Raw genomic sequence first — 23,423 nt, 5'->3', positions numbered from 1 at the left:
TAAATGTATACAAATAAAAAAATGAAAACAACTAATTAAAATGTGACTCGACATCACTAGGAGTGATTCAGACAAAAAGTGTTATGGGATTGTCAGAGGAAAGAAAATTTAGTGGGGTAATGATGGGCAATTGATGAACAAAGACTTCATCAGAAAATGGAATTTATATTGGGGTTTAAAGAATGAGTAGAATTTGGATATATGGAGATGAACAATTTAGGCACAGAAACCCGTGGCGCAGAGTTGAAACAGCCAAGAATGAGAAGGGAAATATTGATGAGAAAGGTCAGAAACATGGGCTGGTTATGTTTGGGGTCACAGTTTGAGACTGTATACTTTGACAAGAGATTAGTTCATCTTAAACATGGTGATTATATTTTAATGCATGTATAAGTAAAGATGAAGCGATTTTTTAAGATTTGTTAAATGATCTACTAAGCAGAATAGTCACCTTTAATCCAGAACCATTTTCATGCCTAAAGGACATGGGTTGAGAGTATTTGCATTACCAGAACATTTGCTGACTGAGTTTCCTTGAAATTAGATTGGATGAAAAATAACTTTCAGAATCTTCTCTTATTATGTAAAACTGCACAATATTTGTACTGTGACATGTATATGAAGAAAAACCAAGATTGTAAGTTTGATCTTCAACTGGAGATCAAACTTACTACCATCTGATTATTTCTCAGGATTCAGAATAAGACCTATACAGTTAGAAAAAGGGAGCCAAAAGCAGCTGAGGGGATTTTTTTTTTTTTTAATTTGGTGGGGCTGCCGGTGGTAGGATGGGGGAGGGTTTGGTATAGAAAATTTTAGTGGAAATAATTTTAGCTTTGGAGTCAAAAACTACAAGACTCAAATTCCATTTCCATCACTGTGTGGTCGTGGGCAGTTCTGTTATTTTTCTGAGCCTCAATTTCTTCTATCAACCTATTAAATGGAAAAATAAGAGGGTGCCTATGTATAGTTGTGCGTACTGAATTCGCACACATCCAGGGCATGCAGTAGCGTTTAGCCGAGGTATTGCAGGAGTAATACAGGCATAATAGAATTGTGGTAAAGAGTCATCCTCATGGGGCAATTGAATCATGATACTTTCAAAACCTTAAATTCCTCCCCATTTCCTATTAAAGAGATTTCAAACTCATATTTGGCAATAGTATCCTATGATTAAATAAAAACTACTTTTTGGGATTTCCCCTCTGTTTTATTCCTTTTCAGTAATACTTTTCTTCAGTTTAATAATATTCTCAGTACCCACTACACTCTTTTCTATTTCTGTGTTTCTCTTTGTAATGTTTTCATGTTCCTGGAATTCCCTGCTTTTCCATATTTACTTATACTCCAAACCTACTGGTTCTTCCAAGTTGAACCCAAAGTCCACCTATTCCATTAAGCCTTCCCTGATTCTCCCTTCCCTGACTGAAAAACATCTTTCTTTCACCAATTTGCCCAGCATTGTTCCTGCATCTGCCTCCACCTGAGTCTTCTGCCTTGGGCTACTGGTTTTATTTACATGTCTTATGCTCCCTTTCCCACTGGGAGCAGGACGGAAACAAGATCCACATGTGCATTACCATTGTATTCCTCACAACACTGAGCACAGGGCTGTGCATAGTTGGTGTGCTGGATTACCTAGGGTCAACTTGGCATCACTGCTACCCCTCTCTAAGGTCTCCACTGCAGGAGAAGCTGAGAACGACATTTCCCAGAAACCCATTGCAATGGGAAGCACGTGCACAAGATTTGGAAGAGAAAGGGGTCATTATTTTCTGGAAGCGGCTGCAGGCACATGACCAAGATAGAAGGTTTGAAGCAGTTTCCAGGTGAGCTTCCCGAAAATCACCTGCATCACTCCTGCAGACTGAGAGGTCAGAGGGAATCTCCCAGAGGTTAATTTCAGGTGTCTTTTGTGCAAACTCTTGAGAACCTCATAGTGCAAAGGCTGAGATTGTTGCTGACAGCCTTCTTCACCTTGGTTTCTGCAGCCTTCTAACCATTGGGTAAGCCTCTAATTCCCTGCATTGAAAATATTCATACTTGGAATATATTGAGAGGCTTCTGCTTTCATGCCTAATCCCTGACTGACTTGTTCAATAAATATTTGGAGAATGAATGAAAAATAATTCCATCATATTAAAAAGTCAGTAGATATTCCACTGATATTTATCATTCAAGGGGAAGGGGCTAATACTAATTGTGAGTCATGTGGCAGGCAGTTTCCTATGCATTATTTACCACCTTCCAGTAATCTTGATAGATCACTATTATTGTCTCATTTTATACATGAGGATATGGAAAAATGAGAATCAAACAGATACACCAACTCACAAAGCATTGCCTTAACGTTCTACCATGTTACCTTAGTGTACGTCAACTTAGTGTATGCTTTTGTGGATAATCACAAGAAATTTCAAGGGCCATTTGAAACCCAATATTAGCCACATTTTTCAGTTTTTCCTACCCACCAAGAGCAATAAATCCTGAGTTCCTCTCAATTATACCACTGAATGGACTACCTATAGCCAATGAATTCAATTAAAATATTTGAGTCTTTTTTTTCAATTATTTAGATATTATATACTTAACTATTGCTAAGAATGAGCATTTTTTATGGCAGGTGAAATGGCAATGGTAGAAATAATTTTTTTAATATCTAAAATTTGGGGTGAAGTGGATTTAAGAACTCAAAATGGAAAGGACATTGTATCATAAAAGACCAAGCAATATAAATTACCAGTTATAGTTTAGTCACCCACTAAAATCTGTTTAGCTCCTTTGGAACATGTCCAATAACTACTTCTCCTTGACCTTATGTAAATGCTGAAGACTTTGATTCTAAATACAATCACCTGAAATACTTTTTAAAGAGTTATTGTTCATTACAAAGTATGCAGAATGTTTCAGAGAACATAATTACTTGTGTGCTTATAAACATTATAGTCATTTGATAAATTATTTTCTATATTTAACAATAAAGTTAATTTATATATTTGATTTAAAAAGGAAATAGACAAAATTATCAAAAAATATAGTGGTAGGAAAATGTAAAATATTTAGTAATATATTTTAGAAAAAATCTCATTCCAAAAGGATTAATGTTCATGAGTTAATATTTAACATTTTGCTAGAAAATTGGTAATCCCACAAAAAGATTAAAATACCTAGGAATATAGCTAACTGGGGAAGTAAATTATCTGCAGTAAGAATTACAAAACACTGCTGAAAGAAATCAGAAATGACACAAACAAATAAAAAAATTCCATGCTCATGGATAAGAAGAATCAATATTGTTATATTGGCCATACTGCCCAAACCAATTTACAGATTCAATGCTATTACTATCAAACTACCACTGTCATTTTGCACAGAATTAGAAAAAAACTATTCTAACATTCAAATGGAACCAAAAAAGAGCCTAAATAGCCAAAGCAATCCTAAGCAAAAAGAACAGAGGCATCACACTACCTGATTTCAAACTATACTACAAGGCTACAGTAGCCAAAACAGCATGGTACTGGTACAAAAACAGACACATAGACCTAGAGAACCCAGAAATAAAGCTGCACACCTACAACCCTCTGACATTCAACAAAGTCAAAGATAACATGCAATAGAGAAAGAAGTCCCTATTCAATAAATGGTTTTGGGATAAGTGGCTAGCCATATACAGAAGATGGCGGAAGATTGAAACTGAACCCCTTCTTTCATAATATACAAAAATCAACTCAAAAATGGAATAAAGACTTAAATGTAAGACCTAAAACTATAAAAACCCTAGGAAAAAAAATCTAAGAAATACCTTTCTAGACATAGGCCTTAGCAAAGATTTCATGACAAAGTCTCCAAAAGTAGTTACAACAAAAACAAAATTTGACAAGCGGGAACTAATTCAACTAAAGAGCTTCTGCACAGCAAAAGAAACTATCAACAGAGTAAACAGACTACCAACAGAATGGGAGAAAATATTTGCAAACTATGCAAACAACAAAGGTCTAATATCCAGAATCTACAAGGAACTTAAACTCAATGAGAAAAAAACAAAGAACCTCATTTAAAAAGTGGGCAAAGGACATGAAAAGACACTTCTTAAAAGAAGACATATAAGCAGCCAACTAACATGAAAAAATGCTCAACATCACTAATTAGCAGAGAGGTGCAAATTAAAACCACAATGAGATACCATCTCACATCAGTCAGAATGGCTATTACTAAAAAGTCAAAAACTAACAGATGTTGGCAAGGCTATGGAGAAAAGGGAATGCCTATACACTGCTGGTGGGAGTGTAAATTAGTTCAGCCACTGTGGAAGGCAGTTTGAAGATTTCTCAAAGAACTAAAAATAGAACTACCATTTAATCCAGTAATCCCATTATAGTTACATACCCAACAGAATATAAATCATTCCACCAAAAAGACACGTGCACTGTATGTTCGTTACAGCACTGTTCACAACAGCAAAGACAGAGAATCAACGTAGGTGCCCATCAACAGTGGACTGGATAAAGAAAATGTGGTATTTATACACCATGGAATACTATGCAGCCATAAAAAAGGAATGAGATCGGCCAGGCATGGTGGCTCACGCCTGTAATCCCAGCACTTTGGGAGGCCAAGGTGGGTGGATCACAAGATCAGGAGATCGAGACCATCCTGGCTAACATGGTGAAACCCCGTCTCTACTAAAAATACAAAAAATTAGCCAGGCGTGGTGGTGGGCACCTGTAGTCCCAGCTACTCGGGAGGCTGAGGCAGGAGAATGGTGTGAACCCGGGAGGCAGAGCCTGCAGTGAGCTGAGATAGCGCCACTGCACTCCAGCCTGGGCGACAGAGTCAGAATCCATCTCAAAAAAAAAAAAAAAGAATGAGATTATGTCCTTTGCAGCAACACAGATGCACCTACAAGCCATTATCCTAAGCGAATTAATACAGAAATAGAAAATCAAATATCACATGTTCTCACTTATAAGTGAGTGCTAAATCTTGGTTATACACATGCATAAAAATGGGAACAATAGACACTGGGAACTCTAAAAGGAGAGAGGGAGAGGGGCAAGGCTTTAAAAACTTTCTATTTGGCACTTGGTTCACTATCTGGGTGATCAGATAAATAGAAGCTCAAACCTCAGCATCACACAATATACCCTTGAAACAAACCTGTGCATGTTCCCCCCAAATTAAGAAAAAATAAAAATATTTTTAAAATCTCATTTTTAAAAACAATATGATCAATTAAAATAACTTAAATAACTTACCAGCAAAACATATAACAATCCAGAATTAAAATATTCAGAAAGCAAGCAAGTCATCTTGTACTACCAGATTCTTTTTGAAGAATGACGTTTATAAAATGAAGAGAACCAATTTTACCTGCCTGTGCTAATGGAAAATAAGTTCAAGAAATGTCCTAGTTATAATTTTCAGTTAGCCCAACATTAACATTGCCCAGAGTTTAGTGTGACAGCCACCTTGAAGCCCTTGTAAATTCTATCGCCTTGGATGAATCACAACTGATTGGTTTATCAATGCATATAATTCAGATTGTTCTGAATAAAGGTGGCTTCCCTGAAGGACCCAAGATAACTTCATGAAATAAATGTATCACATCCAGTTAATAGATGAGGCAAAGAACATTATTTATTTCAAAAGAGAAATCTTATTCTTTTGTGGTAGAGTAAAAGAAAGATTGAATACAAAATAAAATTGCTAATTAAGAAAAAGGAAAGCCACCTATACTCATTTGCTCATGAAAAAGAAACCTAGCTGAGAAGACTGGCAGGCAAGAAACACAGTGGACTAGTATTGCAGGAAGGAGAATGTTGGAATAGAAAAGTTTATTTGTTCTCTGAGATCTGCTCTTATTGAAGTGGATCAAGGATGAAAATACCCAAATTTGAGTATCAGAAGACCTTCCAGTCTACTTGATGCATGAGCTCTACAGTTTTAAGAAGCAAAACTATAAAACAGTGTAAGAAGATATATTTTCCCTGACCTCTATTTGTGATTTCCTCTATTTATCCTTAAAAGCAACTCTTACAAAAGCATAAACTTTATACATATTTGCATGGTAGGCACATTCACATATTGCTGTTGTGTTTTTCATTTTACAGGAACAAAATATGTTCATTAGTGGGAAAATAAAAAGGAACCATAGACAAGCAAAAGGCAGAAAATAGAAAACACTCAGAACCTCACTCACAGACCACTATCTTCAACTTTGTGTGCCCGCTTCTAAGGCCTAATCTTTTCTTAAAAATTATTTAATTTTAAAATGCAGACTTAAATACACATTTCTACATGAACATGATCATATCAAACATATTTTTTTCAAATATTATTTATTTCAAAAAAGAAACCTTATTGCTTTGTGGTAGAGTAAAAGAAAGATTGAATAGAAAATAACATTTCTAATTAAGAAAAAGATGTCTAGGTGGCTGGCAAGATGGCCAAATAGGAACAGCTCCAGTCTGCACCTCCCAGCAAGATCAAAGCAGAAGGCAGGTGATTTCTGCATTTCCAACTGAGGTACCCGGCTCATCTCACTGGGACTGGTTATACAGTGGATGCAGCACATGGAGGGTGAGCCGAAGCATGGTGGGGCATTGCCTCACCCAGGAAGCACAAGAGGTCAGGGAACTCCCTCCCCTAGCCAAGGGAAGCAGTAAGGGACTGTGCCATGAGGAACGGTGCATTCCAGCCCAGATACTATGGTTTTCCCACAGTCTTCACAACCCACAAACCAGGAGATTCCCTCAGGTGCCTATGCCACCAGGGCCCTAGGTTTCAAGCACAAAACTGGGTGTCCATTTGGGCAGACACCGAGCTAGCTCAGGAGTTTTTTTTTATACCCCAGTGGCACCTGGAATGCCAGTGAGACAGAACCATTCACTCCCATGGAAAGGGGGCTGAAGCCAGGGAGCCAAATGGTCTAGCTCAGAGGATCCCACCCCCATGGAGCCCAGCAAGCTAAGATCCACTGGCTTGAAATTCTTACTGCCAGCACAGCAGTCTGAAGTTGACCTAGGATGCTCAAGCTTGGTGGGGGGAGGGGCGTTTACCATTACTGAGGCTTCAGTAGGGGGTTTTCCCCTCACAGTGTAAACAAAGCCACTAGGAAGCTTGAACTGGGCAGAGCCCACCGCAGCTCAGCAAAGCCACTGTAGCCAGACTGCCTCTCTAGATTCCTCCTCTCAGGGCAGGGCATCTCTGAAAGAAAGGCAGCAGCCCCAGTCAGGGGTTTATAGATAAAACTCTCATCTCCCTGGGACAGAGCAGCTGGGGGTAGGGGCAGCTATGGGCGCAGCTTCAGCAGACTTAAACATTCCTGCCTGCCAGCTCTGAAGAGAGCAGCAGATCTCCCAGCACAGCGCTCAAGCTCTGCTAAGGGATAGACTACCTCCTCAAGTGGGTCCCTGACCCCCGTGGCTCCTTACTGGGAGACACCTCCCAGCAGGGGTTGACAGACACCTCATACAGGAGAGCTCTGGCTGGCATCTGGCAGGTGCCCCTCTGAAATGAAGCTTTCAAAGGAAGGAAAAGGCAGCAATCTTTGCTGTTCTGCAGCCTCTGCTGGTGATACCCAGGCAAACAGGGTCTGGAGTGGACCTCCGGCAAACTCCAGCAGACCTGCCGCAAAGGGGCCTGAAGGAAAACAACACACAGAAAGTAATAGCATCAACATCAACAAAAAGAACGTCCACACAGAAACCCCATCCAAAGGTCACCAACATCAAAGAGCAAAGGTAGATAAATCCATGAAGATGAGGAAAAACCAGTGTAAAAAGGTGGACAATTCCAAAAACCAGAATACCTCTTCTCCTCCAAAGGATCACAACTCCTCACCAGCAAGGGAACAAAATTGGACGGAGAATGAGTTTGATGAATTGACAGAAGTAGGCTTCAGAGGTGGGTAATAACAAACTCCTCTGAGTTAAAGGAGCATATTCTAACCCAATGCAAGGAAGCTAAGAACCTTGAAAAAATGTTAGAGGAATTGCTAACTGGAATAACCAGTTTAGAGAAGAACATTAATAGCCTGATGGAGCTGAAAAACACAGCACGAGAACTTCATGAAGCATACGCAAGTATCAATACCCAAGGCAATCAAGTGGCAGAAAGGATACCAGAGATTGAAGATCAACTTAATGAAATAAAGTGTGAGGACAAAATTAGAGGGAAAAAAAATGAAAAGGAACGAACAAAGCCTCCAAGAAATATGGGACCATGTGAAAAGATGAAACCTACATTTGATTGGTGTACCTGAAAGTGATGAGGAGAATGGAACCAAGTTGGAAAACACTCTGCAGGATATTATCCAGGAGAACTTCCCCAACCTAGCAAGACAGGCCAACATTCAAATTCAGAAAATACAGAAAACACCACAAGGAGACTCCTCTAGAAGAGCAACCCAAAGACACATAATCATCAGATTCATGAAGGTTAAAATGAAGGAAAAAATGTTAAGGGCAGCCAGAGAGAAAGATCAGGTTACCCACAAAGGAAAGCCCATCAGACTAAGAGCAGATCTCTCTGCAGAAACCCTACAAGCCAGAAGAGAGTGAAGGCCAATATTCAACATTCTTAAAGAAAAGAATTTTCAACACAGAATTTCATATGCAGCCAAACTAAGCTTCATAAGTGAAGGAGAAATAAAAACCTTTACAGGCAAGCAAATGCTGAGAGACTTTGTCACCACCAGGCCTGCCTTACAAGAGCTCCTGAAGGAGGCACTAAATATGGAAAGGAAAAACCCATACCAGCCACTGCAAAAACATAAATTGTAAAGGCCATCAACAATATGAAGAAGCTGCATCAATTAATGGGCAAAACAACCAACTAGCATCATAATGACAGGATCAAATTCACACATAACAATAGTAACCTTAAATGTAAATGGGCTAAATGCCCCAATTAAAAGACACAGATTGGCAAATTGGATAAAGAGTCAAGACCCCTCAGTGTGCTGTATTCAGGAGACCCATTTCATGTGCGAAGACACACATAGGCTGAAAATAAAGTAATGGAGGAAGGTTTACCAAGAAAATGGAAAGCAAAAAAATAAAAGCAGGGGTTGCAATCCTAGTCTCTGATAAAATAGACTTTAAACCAACAAAGATCAAAAAAGACAAAGAAGGGCATTACATAATAGTAAAGGGATCAATGCAACAAGAATAACTAACTATCCTAAATATATATGCAACCAATACAGAAGCACCCAGATTCATAAGCAAGTTCTTAGAGAACTACAAAAAGACTTAGACTCCCACACAATAATAATGGGAGACTTTAACACACCACTGTCAATATTAGACAGATCAATGAGACAGAAAATTTATAAGGATATTCAAGACTTGAACTCAGCTCTGGACCAAGCAGCTCGTAGATGAGCTGTCCACCCCAAATCAACAGAATATACATTCTTCTCAGCACCACATCACAGTTATTCTAAAATTGACCACATAATTGGAAGTAAAACACTCCTCAGCAAATGCAAAACAATGGAAATCCTAACAAACAGTCTCTCAGACCACAGTGCAATCAAATTAGAACTCAGGATTAAAAAACTCACTCAAAACCACACAACTACATGGAAACGTAAATAACCTGCTCCTGAATGACTACTGGGTAAATAATGAAATTAAGGCAGAAATAAATAAGCTCTTAGCAACCAATGAGAACAAAGAAACAACATGCCAGAATCTCTTGGACACAGCTAATGCAGCGTTTAGAGGGAAATTTTTAGCACTAAATGCCCATGAGAGAAAGAAAGAAAGATCTAAAATCAACTAAAAGAATTAGAGAAGGAAAAGTAAGCAAATTCAAAAGCTAGCAGAAGACAAGAAATAACCAAGATCAGAGCAGAACTGAAGGAGATACGGACACAAAACCCCTTCAAAAGAATTAACGAATCCAGGAGCTGGTTTTTTGAAAAGATCAACAAAACAGATAGGCTGGTAGCCAGACTAATAAAGAAGGAATAGAGAGAAGAATCAAATAGACACAATAAAAAATTATAAAGGGGATATCACCACTGATCCCACAGAAATACAAAGTACCATCAGAGAATACTATAAACACCTCCACACAAATAAACTAGAAAATCTAGAAGAAATTGACAAATTTCTGCACACATACACCCTCCCAAGACTAAACCAGGAAGAAGTCAAATCCCTGAATAGACCAATAACAAGTTCTGAAATTGAGGCAGTAATTAATAGCCCACCAACCAACAAAAGCCCAGGACCAGATGGATTCAGAGCTGAATTCTACCAGAGGTACAAAGAGTTGCTGGTACCATTCCTTCTGAAACTATTCCAATCAATAGAAAAAGAGGGAATCCTCCCTAATTCATTTTATAAGGCAGCATCATCCTGATACCAAAACCTGACAGAGACACAACAAAAAAAGAAAATTTCAGGCCAATATCCCTGATAAACATCGATGTGAAAATCCTCAATAAAATACTTGCAAACTGAATCCAGCAGCACATCAAAAAGCTTATTCATCACCATCAAGTCGGCTTCATCCCTGGGAGGCAAGTCTGGTTCAACATATGCAAATCAATAAACATAATCCATCATATAAACAGAATCAATGACTAGAACCACATGATTATCTCAATAGATGAAGAAAAAGCCTTCAATAAAATTCAACACCCCTTCATGCTAAAAACTGTCAATAAACTAGGTATTGATGGAATGTATCTCAAAATAATAAGAGCTATTTATGACAAACCCATAGTCAGTATCATACTGAATGGGCAAAAGCTGGAAGCATTCCCTTTGAAAACTGGCACAAGATAAAGAGGCCCTCTCTCACCACTCCTATTCAACATAGTATGGGAATTTCTGACCAGGGCAATCAGGCAAGAGAAAGAAATAAAGGTATTCAAATAGGAACAAAAGAAGTCAAATTGTCCCTGTTTGCAGATGACATGATTGTATATTTAGAAAACCCCATCATCTGAGCCCAAAATCTCCTTAAGCTGATAAGCAACTTCAGCAAAATCTCAAGATTCAAAATCAATGTACGAAAATCACAAGCATTCCTATACACCAATAATAGACAAACAGAGAGCCAAATCATAAGTGAACTCCCATTCACAATTGCTACAAAGAGAATAAAATACCTAGGAATCCAACTTACAAGGGATGTGAAGGACCTCTTCAAGGAGAACTACAAACCACTGCTCAAGAAAATAAAAAAGGACACAAACAAATGGAAAAACATCCCATGCTCATGGATAGGAAGAATCAATATCGTGAAAATGGCCATACTGCCCAAAGTAATTTATAGACTCAATGCTATCCCCATCAAGCTACCATTGACTTTCATTACAGAATTAGAAAAAACTATTTTAAATTTTATATGGAACCAAAAAAGAGCCCATATAACCAAGACAATCCTAAGCAAAAAAAACAAAGCTGGAGTCATCACCCTACCTGACGTCAAACTATACTACAAGGCTATAGTAACCAAAACGGCATGATGCTGGTACCAAAACAGATACATAGACCAATGGAACAAAATAGAGACCTCAGAAATAACACCACACATCTACAACCATCAGATCTTTGACAAACCTGACAAAAACAAGAAATAGGGAAAGGATTCCCTATTTAATAAATAATGCTGGGAAAATTGGCTAGCCATATGCATAAAATTGAAATTGGAACCTTTCCTTACACCTTATACAAAAATTAACTCAAGATGCATTAAAGACTTAAACGTAAGACCTAAAACCATACAAACCCTAGAAGAACACCTAGGCAATACCATTCAGGACATAGGCATAGGCAAAGACTTCATGACTAAAACACCAAAAGCAATGGCAACAAAAGCCAAAATTGACAAATTAGATCTAATTAAACTCAAGAGCTTCTGCACAGCAAAAGAAACTATCATCAGGGTGAACAGGAAACCTACAGAATGGGAGAAAGTTTTTGCAATCTATCCATCTGACAAAGGGCTAATATCCACAATCTACAAAGAGCTTAAACAAATTTACAAGAAAAAAATACCCATTCAAAAGTGGGCGAAGGATATGAACAGACACTTCTCAAAAAAAGACATTTATGTGGCCAACAAACATATGAAAAAAAGCTCATCATCACTGGTCATCAGAGAAATACAAATCAAAACCACAATGAGATACCATCTCATGCCAGTTAGAATGGTGATCATTTAAAAGTCAGGAAATAACAGATGCTGGAGAGGATGTGGAGAAATAGGAACACTTTTACACTGTTGGGAGTGTAAACTAGTTCAACCATTGTGGAAGACAGTGTGGCGATTCCTCAAGGATCTAGAACCAGAAATACCATTTGACCCACGAATCCCATTTCTGGGTATACACCCAAAGGATTACAAATCATTCTACTATAAAGACACATGCACATGTATGTTTACTGAAGCACTGTTCACAATAGCAAAGACTTGGAACCAATCCAAATGCACATCAATGATAGACTGGGTAAAGAAAATGTGGCACATATACACCATGGAATACTACACAGCCATAAAAAGTATGAGTTCATGTCCTTTGCAGGGACGTGGATGAAGCTGGAAACCATCATTCTCAGCAAACTAACACAGGAACAGAAAATCAAACACCACATGTTCTCACTCATAAGTGGGAGTTGAACAATGAGAACACATGGACACAGGGAGTGGAACATCACACACCGGGGCCTTTCACATGGTGGAGGGCTAGGGAAGGGATAGCATTAGGATAAATACCTAATGTAGATGATGGTTTGATGGGTGCAGCAAACCACCATGGCATTTGTATACCTGTGTAACAAACCTGTATGTTCTGCACATGTATCCCAGAACATAAAGTATAATAAAATAAATAAAGAAAAAGAAAAAGAAAGCCACCTATACTAGCTCATTCATGTTTTAAATTTAATTTTTGTAAGTTAAAAATACATTTAATGATTATGTGAAGGCAGCAGAATGTTGAGAGAGGCAAATAGTGCAGGATTAAGCCCACAGACTCTAGAGCCAGACTACCTGGCTTTGTGTCCTGGCTGTGCCACGTACAGCAGTGTGATTTTGGATGAGTACTTAATTGTTCCGTGCCTCAGCTTTGTCATCTGTAAATTGAGGGATAATAATATTATTAAGATTATATTTTAATATATGTTTTATATTCTATTACTATATAATGTTATGAGGATTAAATGACTTAACTGCTTTTGAAGTGCTTAGAACAGTATTTGATACACAACATTCCTTGGTAGGCATTTAAGTTATTACCACTTTTCTCCTACAATAGCCAATTTTGTAATGGATAGTTTTTTTAACATATGTCCTTGCACACTTACTCAATTATTCTGTTAGATAAATTCCTAGAAATGGAATGGCTGTGTCAAAGGATGCGTACATTTTAAATTCTGGTAAAGAGATTGCATGAAAAGTGGGCACATTATAAAGGATACGCCAATTTTTATTCCCTCTAAACAGTACTGAGGCTAAGTATAGTTGTATGTTTCAAAATCTAGTTCTCAAACTTTGGTTTTCATAAGAAACACCTAAGTGCTTATTAAAATAGTAAATTATCAGGAACCTCCTGCAGAGATTCAGTACAGCCAGTATGAAAACTTGGAATCTGCTTTTTTTTTAGACAGAGCCTTGCTCTGTTGCCCAGCCTGGAGTGCAGTGGCACTGTCTCTGCTCACTGCAACCTCCGCCTCCCGGGTTCAAGCGATTCTCCTGCCTCAGCCTCCCAAGCAGCTGGGACTACAGGCGCATGCCAACAAACCCAGCTAATTTTTGTATTTTTAGTAGAGACAGGGTTTCACCATACTGGCCAGGCTGGTCTCGAACTCCTGACCTCGTGATCCACCCACCTCAGCCTCCCAAAGTGCTGGGATTACAAGCATGAGCCCAGCAGGAAGCTGTATTTTTTTAAACAACATCTTGAGTAATTCTGATGCAGGTGACCAGTGGATTGAGAAATATTGTGCCTTATCTTTGACTTCCCTTCTGGCACTGATAACTAAAACCCCACTGACATGATAGTCATGTTCAGCAAAAAAAATTCTACCAGGAGCTGGGCAGAAAATACCATCTTTCACAAGCCAACTATTAATACATGTTTTTTTTTTTCTTTATGTGGTACAAGAAATTAACCCATTTTTGGGTGGGTGCAGTGGCTCATGGCTGTAATCCCAACACTCTGGGAGGCCAAGGCGGGTGGATTGCATGAGGCCAGGAGTTGGAGACCAGCCTGGCCAACATGGTGAAACCCCATCTCTACTGAAAATACAAGAATTAGCCAGGCATGGTGGTGTGCACCTGTAGTCCCAGCTACTCGGGAGGCTGAGGCAGGAGAATCACTTGAACTCGGGAGGCAGAGCTTGCACATTTCCATCAATGACAAATTATTCGGTTATATCTCCAAATTTGTTCACACATAATTTTCCCAATGTAGATCTCATCATTTCAAATGCAGTTTTTATCCTACAAATGTGTCAAACTTCTATACAGTATGCCAAAGTGCAAAATAAAACCAGTTTTTAAGTGTAAGATAAAAGCCTGAGGCTAGCAGTATTGGACAGTTGGGCAGACACAAATGTTCTGTTTTTGTACATGTAAGACTTTTTGGCCTGGGTGTGTACCAAGATTGATATTTTTTTAAGCTACCAGTCTAATTAGTTTGTTAGCTCCCCTTCTCGTAAAGGCTGGATGCAGAAGGTTGGAAAGAGGTCACTGTGTGCCAGCATCAGAGGCAGCTGTCAAGCAAAACAAGACTCCCTGGGGATTGTTAGAACTAGCTAAATAAAATTTTTAAATTGGAGGAAATCAGCGCCAGTCATTCAAATTAATAAGGTAATATCACACCTTTTAACACCAACACATTTATAACTTGGTCTAGTTACAGTCTACCTTTATTTAAAATAATGATGAATTCCAGAAACAGAGAAGTTGCTTTTTAACAAAGAGTTTTCTTCTAAGCTAATCATTCTGCCAAATAAGTAAATATTTAAAGATTATTACTATTTTAGGCTAACATTTCAAAGGTTAACTCCACTTGATTATGTGAATGCCCTGTGATCTTACCTCAACTGTTCCCTGATAATATGCTTCCATCTCTCTATCTCCATAGATTGCATATTTCTTTTCCCTTCCCCTTCTCATCCCTTTTGGCTACCATATGGAGTCTTTCCTTCTTTTCACTCCTAAACTCACAGGATTTCTCTCTACTTTCGCATCATTCACTTTCCTATTGATTCCCAGCAAGATGGTTTGTAACCCATCTACTCCTCTGATGAACCAGCAGTGTTGAAAGCCACAAAAAATTTTCTTAAGGGTTAAATTCAATGGATATCGACTATCAAACCTCATGCCTACTCAGTGCTTTGTTAGGACCAAAGACTTTTTCCTCTTGTCTTTCTTTTCTTTTTCTTCTTCTTCTTTTCCTTTTATTTTATTTTATTATTTATTTAGTTATTTATTTTTTGAGACAGAGTCTCACTCTGTGGCCAGGCTGGAGGGCAGTGGCATGATCTCGGCTCACTGCAAACTCCATCTCCCAGGTTGAAGCGATCCTTCTGCCTCAGCCCCACTACTAGCTGGGATTACAGGCATGTGCCACTATGCCTAGCTAATTTTTTTATTTTTAGTAGAGACAGGGTTTCACCATGTTGGCCAGGCTGGTCTTGAACTCCTGACCTCAGATGATCACCTGCCTCAGCCTCCCAAAGTGCTGGGATTACAGACGTGAGCCACCGCAACCAGCCTTCTTCTTTTTATTTTTATTTTTGGTCAGCATGTTTTAGCAAAAGTTGTATTTCTTCATTTCAGGCACTCACCTGTATCTTCAAACATTACTGCCTGATTATGAGGACATGTGCACATTTATAATGATGCATAGACTATTGTGAATCTTCCTTGACCTCTCTTCCTCTAGTTCCAACTCTTCTTCCCAAAGATAATTTATGGCCATCTAGCTCTTTTCATATCTATAAATTTATCATCAAACTTATCATTCACTCTAATAACATCAAATATTCTGTCCAATTGATTATCCTAACTTTGACATTTTCAGTCTTTACTGCTGAAATCCCAGTTGCAGATTGCCAACTAATTTCTAGAAATTTCTATTCTTAAACTCATTCTTTGTGTATATATATACATTAAGTTGTAGGGTACATGTGCACAAGATTTGTTACATATGTATACATGTGCCATGCTGGTTTGCTGCACTCATTAACTCATCATTTACATTAGGTATTTCTCCTAATGTTATCCCTCCTCCATCCCCGATCCATGCCAGGCCCTGGTGTGTCCAAGTGTTCTCATTGTTCAATTCTCACCTATGAGTGAGAACATGTGGTGGTTGGTTTTTTGCCCTTGTGACAGTTTGTTCAGAATGATGGTTTCCAGCTTCGTCCATGTCCCTACAAAGGACATGAACTCATCCTTTTTTCTAGCTGCATAGTATTCCATGGTGTATATGTGCCACATTTTCTTAATCCAGTCTATCATTGATGGACATTTGAGCTGGTTCCAAGCCTTTGTTATTGTGAATAGTGCCGCAATATATACGTGTGCATGTGTCTTTATAGCAGCATGATTTATAATCCTTTGGGTATATACCCAGTAATGGGATCACTGGGTCAAATGGTATTTCTAGTTCTAGATCCTTGAGGAATAGCCACACTGTCTTCAACAATGGTTGAACTAGTTTACAGTCTCACCAACAGTGTTAAAGTGTTCCTATTTCTCCACATCCTCTCCAGCATGTGTTGTTTCCTGACTTTTTAATGATCGCCATTCTAACTGGTGTGAGATGGTATCTCATTGTGGTTTTGATTTGCATTTCTCTGATGACTATTTGATGGTCATCAAATGATGAGCATTTTTTCATGTGTCTGTTGGCTGCATAAATGTCTTCTTTTGAGAAGTGTCTGTTCATATCCTTTGCTCACTTTTGAATGGGGTGGTTTGATTTTTTCTTGTAAATTTGTTTAAGTTATTTGTAGATTCTGGATATCAACCCTTTGACAGATGAGTAGATTGCAAAAATTTTCTCCCTTTCTGTAGGTTGCCTGTTCACTCTGATGGTAGTTTCTTTTGCTGTACATAAGCTCTTGAGTTTAATTAGATCCCATTTGTCAATTCTGGCTTTTGTTGCCATTACTTTTGGTGTTTTAGTCATGAAGCATTTGCCCGTGCCTATGTCCTGAATGGTATTTACTAGGTTTTCTTCTAGGGCTTTTATGGTTTTAGGTCTAACATTTAAGTCTTTAATCCATCTTGAATTAATTTTTGTATAAGGTGTAAGGAAGGGATCTAGTTTCAGCTTTCTACATATGGCTAGTTTCCCCAGCACCATTTATTAAGTAGGGAATCCTTTCCCCATTTCTTGTTTTTGTTAGGTTTGTCAAAGATCAGATGATTGTAGATGTGTGGTGTTATTTCTGAGGTCTCTGTTCTGTTCCACTGGTCTATATCTCTGTTTTGGTACCTGTACCATGCTGTTTGGTTACTGTAGCCTTGTAGTATAGTTTGAAGTCAGGTAGTGTGATGCCTCCAGCTTTGTTCTTTTGGCTTAGGATTGTCTTGGCAATGTGGGCTCTTTTTCAGTTCCATATGAACTTTAAAGTAGTTTTTTCCAGTTCTGTGAAGAAAGTCATTGGTAGCTTGATGGGGATGGCACTGAATCTATAAATTACCTTGGGCAGTATGGCCATTTTCATGATATTGATTCTTCCTATCCATAAGCATGGAGTGTTTTTCCATTTGTTTGTGTCCTCTTTTATTTCATTGAGCATGTAGTTCTCCTTGAAGAGGTCCTTCACATCCCTTGTAAGTTGAATTCCTAGGTATTTTATTCTCTTTGTAGCAATTGTGAATGGGAGTTCACTCATTATTTGGCTCTCTGTTTGTCTATCATTGGTGTATAGGAATGCTTGTGATTTTTGCACATTGATTTTGTATCCTGAGACTTTGCTGTAGTTGCTTATCAGCTTAAGGAGATTTGGGGCTGAGATGATGGGGTTTTCTAGATATACAATCATGTCATCTGCAAACAGGGACAATTTGACTTCCTCTTTTCCTAATTGAATACCCTTTATTTCTTTCTCTTGCCTGATTGCCCTGGCCAGAACTTCCAACACTATATTGAATAGGAATGGTGAGAGAGGGCATCCCTGTCTTGTGCCAGTTTTCAAAGGGAATGCTTCCGGTTTTTGCTCATTCAGTATTATATTGGCTGTGGGTTTGTCATAAATAGCTCTTATTATTTTGAGATACATTCCATGAATACCTAGTTTATTGAGTTTTTAGCATGAAGTGCTGTTGAATTTTGTCAATGGCCTTTCCTGCTTCTATTGAGATAATCAATGTGGTTTTTGTCTTTGGTTCTGTTTATGTGACGGATTGCATTTATTAATTTGCGTATGTTGAACCAGCCTTGCATCCCAGGGATGAAGCCAACTTGATCTTGGTAGATAAGCTTTTTGATGTGCTGCTGGATTCGGTTTGCCAGTATTTTACTTAGCATTTTCTCATCGATGTTAATCAGGAATATTGGTCTAAAATTCTCTTTTTTTATTGTGTCTCTGCCAGCCTTTGTTATCAGGATGATGCTGGCCTCATAAAATGAGTTAGGGAGGATTCCCTCTTTTTCTGTTGATTGGAATAGTTTCAGAATGAATGGTACCAGCTCTTCCTTGTACCTCTGGTAGAATTCGGCTGTGAATCCTTCTGGTCCTGGACTTTTTTTGGTTGGTAGGCTATTAATTATTTCCTCAATTTCAGAGCCTGTTATTGGTCTATTCAGGGATTCAACTACTTCCTGGTTTAGTCTTGGGAGGGTGTATGTGTCCAGGAATTTATCTATTTCTTCTAGATAAAGGTACTGTCTCCTTTGTTGTTTGCCTTCCAAAGAGAGCTCCCAAGTCTTTCAGAAATACTTCCCTGGGTCATTAAGCTGAAAAAAGATTTAGTTTCTCAAAAAACCAAAGTTTGCCAGGCATAGTGGCTCATGCCTGTAATCCCAGTTACTTGGGAAGCCAAGGCAGGAGAATCGCCTGAACCCAGGAGTAGGAGGTTGTGGTGAGGCAAGATCGTGCCTTGCACTCCAGCCTGGGTAACAAGAGAAAAACTCCGTAAAAAAAAAAAAAAAAAAAAAAAAAAAAAAACACACATACACACACACACACCTCAGAAGTCAGAGAAAATGCATTTACAAATTTTCTGAGTGTGCTAAGAAAAGAGACAAAAGGAAAGAAAATCTCTTCCTTTATTTTTAAAGGTTTATTTTAAATAAACCTCTCATTTATTTGCTTGTTTGTTTGAGACAGGGTCTAGCTTTGTCATCCAGTCTGGAGTGTGGTGGCGAGATCAGAGCTCACTGCAGCCTCCAACTTTCTGGCTTAAGCGATCCTCCGACCTCAGTGCCCCGAGCAGCTGGGACCACAGGTGTGCACCACCACACCTGGCTTATTTTTTTTTTTATTTTATTTTTTTAGTATAGATGAGGTCTCACCACGCTGCCCAAGCTGATCTCAAACACCTAGGCTTAAGCCATCCTCCTGCCTCAGCCTCTCAAAGTGCTGGGATCACAGGCGCGAGCCACTGCTCCGGGCCCTGACTTTATTTCCATGAAATATAAAATTGTCCTTCACTTCCTTTGTGTAGTAGGCAGTTTTGCATGTCACCGTTCAGTTTCCATTATCCACTCAAACAACCCAGGACCTTGCTTAATAAGCCGTTCTAATTGTCAGTCCCTGCTGCAACCAGTGCCCCACTCCACCCCTTTACCGAGGTCCCTGCCCCTCCGCCCCGCCCTGCCCCAGACGGAGGGGAGCTTGCACTGCCTGCAGGATGCGTGACTCTACCTGCTCAGAAAAGGCACTTTGCATTAAAACCATTTTCAACTTAAGAGGAAAAACGATTCAGCGTTCATTACAGGTTGCCCAATAAATATGTTGTTTTACCTTCGATTGTTTGAAATATTAACTTAAAACGGATGAAGCATCCCTGTGATATTAGGGGTAATATCACAGCACATCAGTAACAGTCCACCAATCAGTATCCGGAGGATCCAGTCCTGCAGGGCAAGAGGATGACAGCAGGCGACATCTGGGGCCCAACTGAGGAGAAAGCCAGGACCCGCCCCCTCCAGGCCCTGCCCTTCAGACACCCCTTCCAGACCTCGCCCCCAAGATGACGATCACCCTCTGGCCCCGCCCCTTCCCTCTGCTTGCCCGGCCCCCAAGCAGCCTCCCCATTCTTGCCGCGCCCAGATCCTGTTCGAGGTCCCGTCCATTCTAGCCAGGCCCCTGCCCCACAGCGGCCTCCACCCCCTCGTAGCCAGGTGTGGCTGTGATCTGTCAGCCTTGGCCTCCCAAAGTGCTGGGACCACAGGCGTGAGCCACCCCACCCGGCCTAATCTTCTTAACATAAACACTTTAATGTCAATAATGCTTGAACTCAATGTTGTCAACTCAATCTCAAGTCAATGCTGAATTGGCTCTAATGTCAATTAAAGCTTTATGATTTTCTATAGTCATTGTATTTGGAAAAATTATCTCAAAAATGAATTTTCTGATGTTCTGCAAGGATTGACCTCGGACTGAAGACCTTGCCACACTTACGACATTTTTAAGATTCTGTCCAGTATAGATTCTCTGATGTTTAATCCTGTGTGAAAGTGAAGTCAAGACTGCCACAATCATCACACTTGAGGTTTCTCTCCTGTATGAATTCTCCTATGTTTTGCATAAGATGAAGCTTGACTGAAGACCTTGCCGCAATCATCACATTTGTAAGGTTTCTCTCCAGTATGAGTTCGCCAATCAACTGCAAGGTATGATCGATATCTGAAAAATTTGCCACATTTACTACACTTGTAAGATCTCTCTTCATTATGGATTCTCTAATGTTTTGCAAAGGTTGTAGCGTTACTGAAGACTTTGTAAGAATCATTACATTTGTAAAGTTTCCCTATACCATGGATTGCTTGATGATGAATAAGTGTTGACTGCCCACTAAAGGCTTTGCCATACTCATTACACTTGTAAGGTTTCCCTCCAGTATGAACTCTCTGATGTTGTGCAAGGTTTGATTGTTGATTAGACACCTTGCCACATTCGGCTGGGTGTGGTGGCTCACGCCTGTAATCCCAGCACCTTGGGAGGCCGAGGCAGGCGGATCACGAGGTCAGGAGATCGAGACCATCCTGGACAACATGGTGAAACCCCGTCTCTACCAAAAATACAAAAAATTAGCCAGGCGTGTTGGTGGGCACCTGTAGTCCCAGCTACTCAGGAGGCTGAGGCAGGAAAATGGCATGAACCTGGGAGGTGGAGGTTGCAGTGAGCCAAGATCGCGTCACTGCACTCCAGCCTGGGCAACAGAGTGAGACTCTGTCTCAAAAAAAAAAAAAAGAAAAAGAAAAAAAAAAGAAACCTTGCCACAGTCATTATACTTGTAAGATTTGTCTCCAGTATGAATTGCTTTATGAATTACAAGGGCTGAATTTCAAGTGAAGGTCTTGCCACACTCATTACACTTCTATGGTTTCTCTCCAGTATGACATCTATAATGACATACAAGATTTGCTTTTTGACTAAAAACCTTGCCACATTCATTACATGTGTAAGGTTTCTTTCCATTATGAAATGCCTTATGCATTACAAGACCTGAATTTTGAGCAAAGGTCTTGCCACACTTATTACACTTGTAAGGTTTCTCCCCAGTATGAACTCTCTGATGTTGTGCAAGGCATGAATCATGCCAGAAAACCTTGTCACAAACCTTACACTCATAAGGTTTCCCTCCAGTATGAACTCTTCAGGTGTGAAAGGCATGAATTATCCCAGAAAGCCTTGTGACAAACCTTACATTTGTATGGTTTTTCTCCAGTATGAATTCTCCTATGTGTTTCAAGTTGTGATCTGCAACTGTAAACTTTGTCACATTCTTCTCATTTGTAAGGTTTCTGTCCAGTATGAAGTCTATGACAGCATTGAAGGGATGACTTCTGATTGAAGGTCTTGCTACACTCATTACACTTGTAAGGTTTCTCTCCAGTATGAACTCTATGGTGGCATGCAAGGTATTACTTCTCATGAAAGACTTTGCCACATACATCACATTTACATTATTTCTCTCCTGAATGGGTTATGTGATGTCTCCTTAAGTGTGAGCTATAATTAAAGGCTTTGCCATACTCATTACATTGGAAAGGTTTTTCTCTCTTGTGTACTTCCTGTATTTGTGGGAATAATGAAGAATGGAGGAAATTCTTCCCATACTTATTAGAAAGATGGGTTTTGAGCCTACAAGAAATTATTTGGGATGTTGAAGCTGAGGAAGCATCATTGATAGACTGGTCCACTTGATTACCAATTTTCTGTTCAGTCTGAAATATGTGCAGTTCAGGCAGATGCAAATGAAAGCTTAATCCAAGCTGACCTTTAATAGGCTTGTTTCCAGCATGCCGTTGATCATGTCAGTCTGTACTACCAGTTAACTCTTTGGTTTCTGTCATGGGTGCTTCATGGCCATTTCTTTCCATTTCTTGCCACTGAAACTCAAAGTCATGAATATCTTTCTCGGTTTCTGGGAAGCAAAAATCTCCAGTGTGATGATTTTCATGTCTTTCCAAAATCCCTATGTGGAACACTTCCCCATTGCCTTGCCCTGTTGATGAGAACTCCATCATGGATTTTAAAGAGCTATCCACAGACTCTAGGTTCCTGTAGTTCTCCAACATCACGTCCCTGTATAAAGGCCTCTGCACAGGGTACAGGCATTTCCACTCCTCCACTGAGAATTTTTTTTTTTTTTTTTTTTTGAGATGGAGTCTTGCTGTGTCACCCAGGCTGGAGTGTAGTGGCGCGATCTCGGCTCACTGCAAGCTCCGCCTCCCAGGTTCAAGCCATTCTCCTGTCTCAGCCTCCCAAGTAGCTGGGACTACAGGCGCCTGCCACCAGGCCCGGCTAATTTTTTGTATGTTTAGTAGAGATGGGGTTTCACTGTGGGCTCAATCTCTCCTGACCTCATGATCCGCCCGCCTCGGCCTCCCAACTCCACTGAGAATTATATAGCCACATCCCTGAAAGTCAAGTGTCCCTGAGGAAGAGCTGCTATCCCTGGCTCCTTTTCTTTGCTCTTCTTGGTGGCTTCTTTACATAACATGAGTCTTTGGAAATCAATCCCGGATGTCTCAATTTTCTCTGAGTTGAGAAAGAAGGGCCGGAATTTCCAGGTCTGTGGGGACCCCACGCCCCTGATATAGCAGCACCAGAGAACTTGAGACCCTTCTTTTATGAGTCCTTTATTGCTTACTCAGTTATGCCTCATTAGTTACTAAATCTGATGAACAAGGAAGCCAATATTTAAGGCACTGGAGGATATATCACTGGCTGGTGACAAGGTTGTTACGTAACATCAAGGTT

The 23,423-nt window shown here is 39.6% G+C and overlaps 1 non-coding gene and 1 pseudogene across 1 annotated transcript; one reads left to right on the top strand and one right to left on the bottom strand.

Annotated features, from left to right (window-relative positions):
- Positions 1-5,872: 5,872 nt before the first annotated feature.
- LOC124900892 (small nucleolar RNA U2-19) lies at positions 5,873-5,952 on the top strand. Its single transcript, XR_007058530.1, has one exon. It is a non-coding gene; the product is annotated as a small nucleolar RNA U2-19 (small nucleolar RNA).
- Positions 5,953-20,359: 14,407 nt separating this feature from the next.
- On the bottom strand, positions 20,360-22,800 carry ZNF969P (zinc finger protein 969, pseudogene; annotated as a pseudogene).

This window comes from Homo sapiens, chromosome 4 (assembly GCF_000001405.40).
Source record: "Homo sapiens chromosome 4, GRCh38.p14 Primary Assembly".
Taxonomy (NCBI): Eukaryota; Metazoa; Chordata; class Mammalia; order Primates; family Hominidae; genus Homo; species Homo sapiens.
The sequence above is the reverse complement of the archived record's forward strand: the minus strand, read 5'-3'. Positions and strand labels throughout refer to the sequence as shown.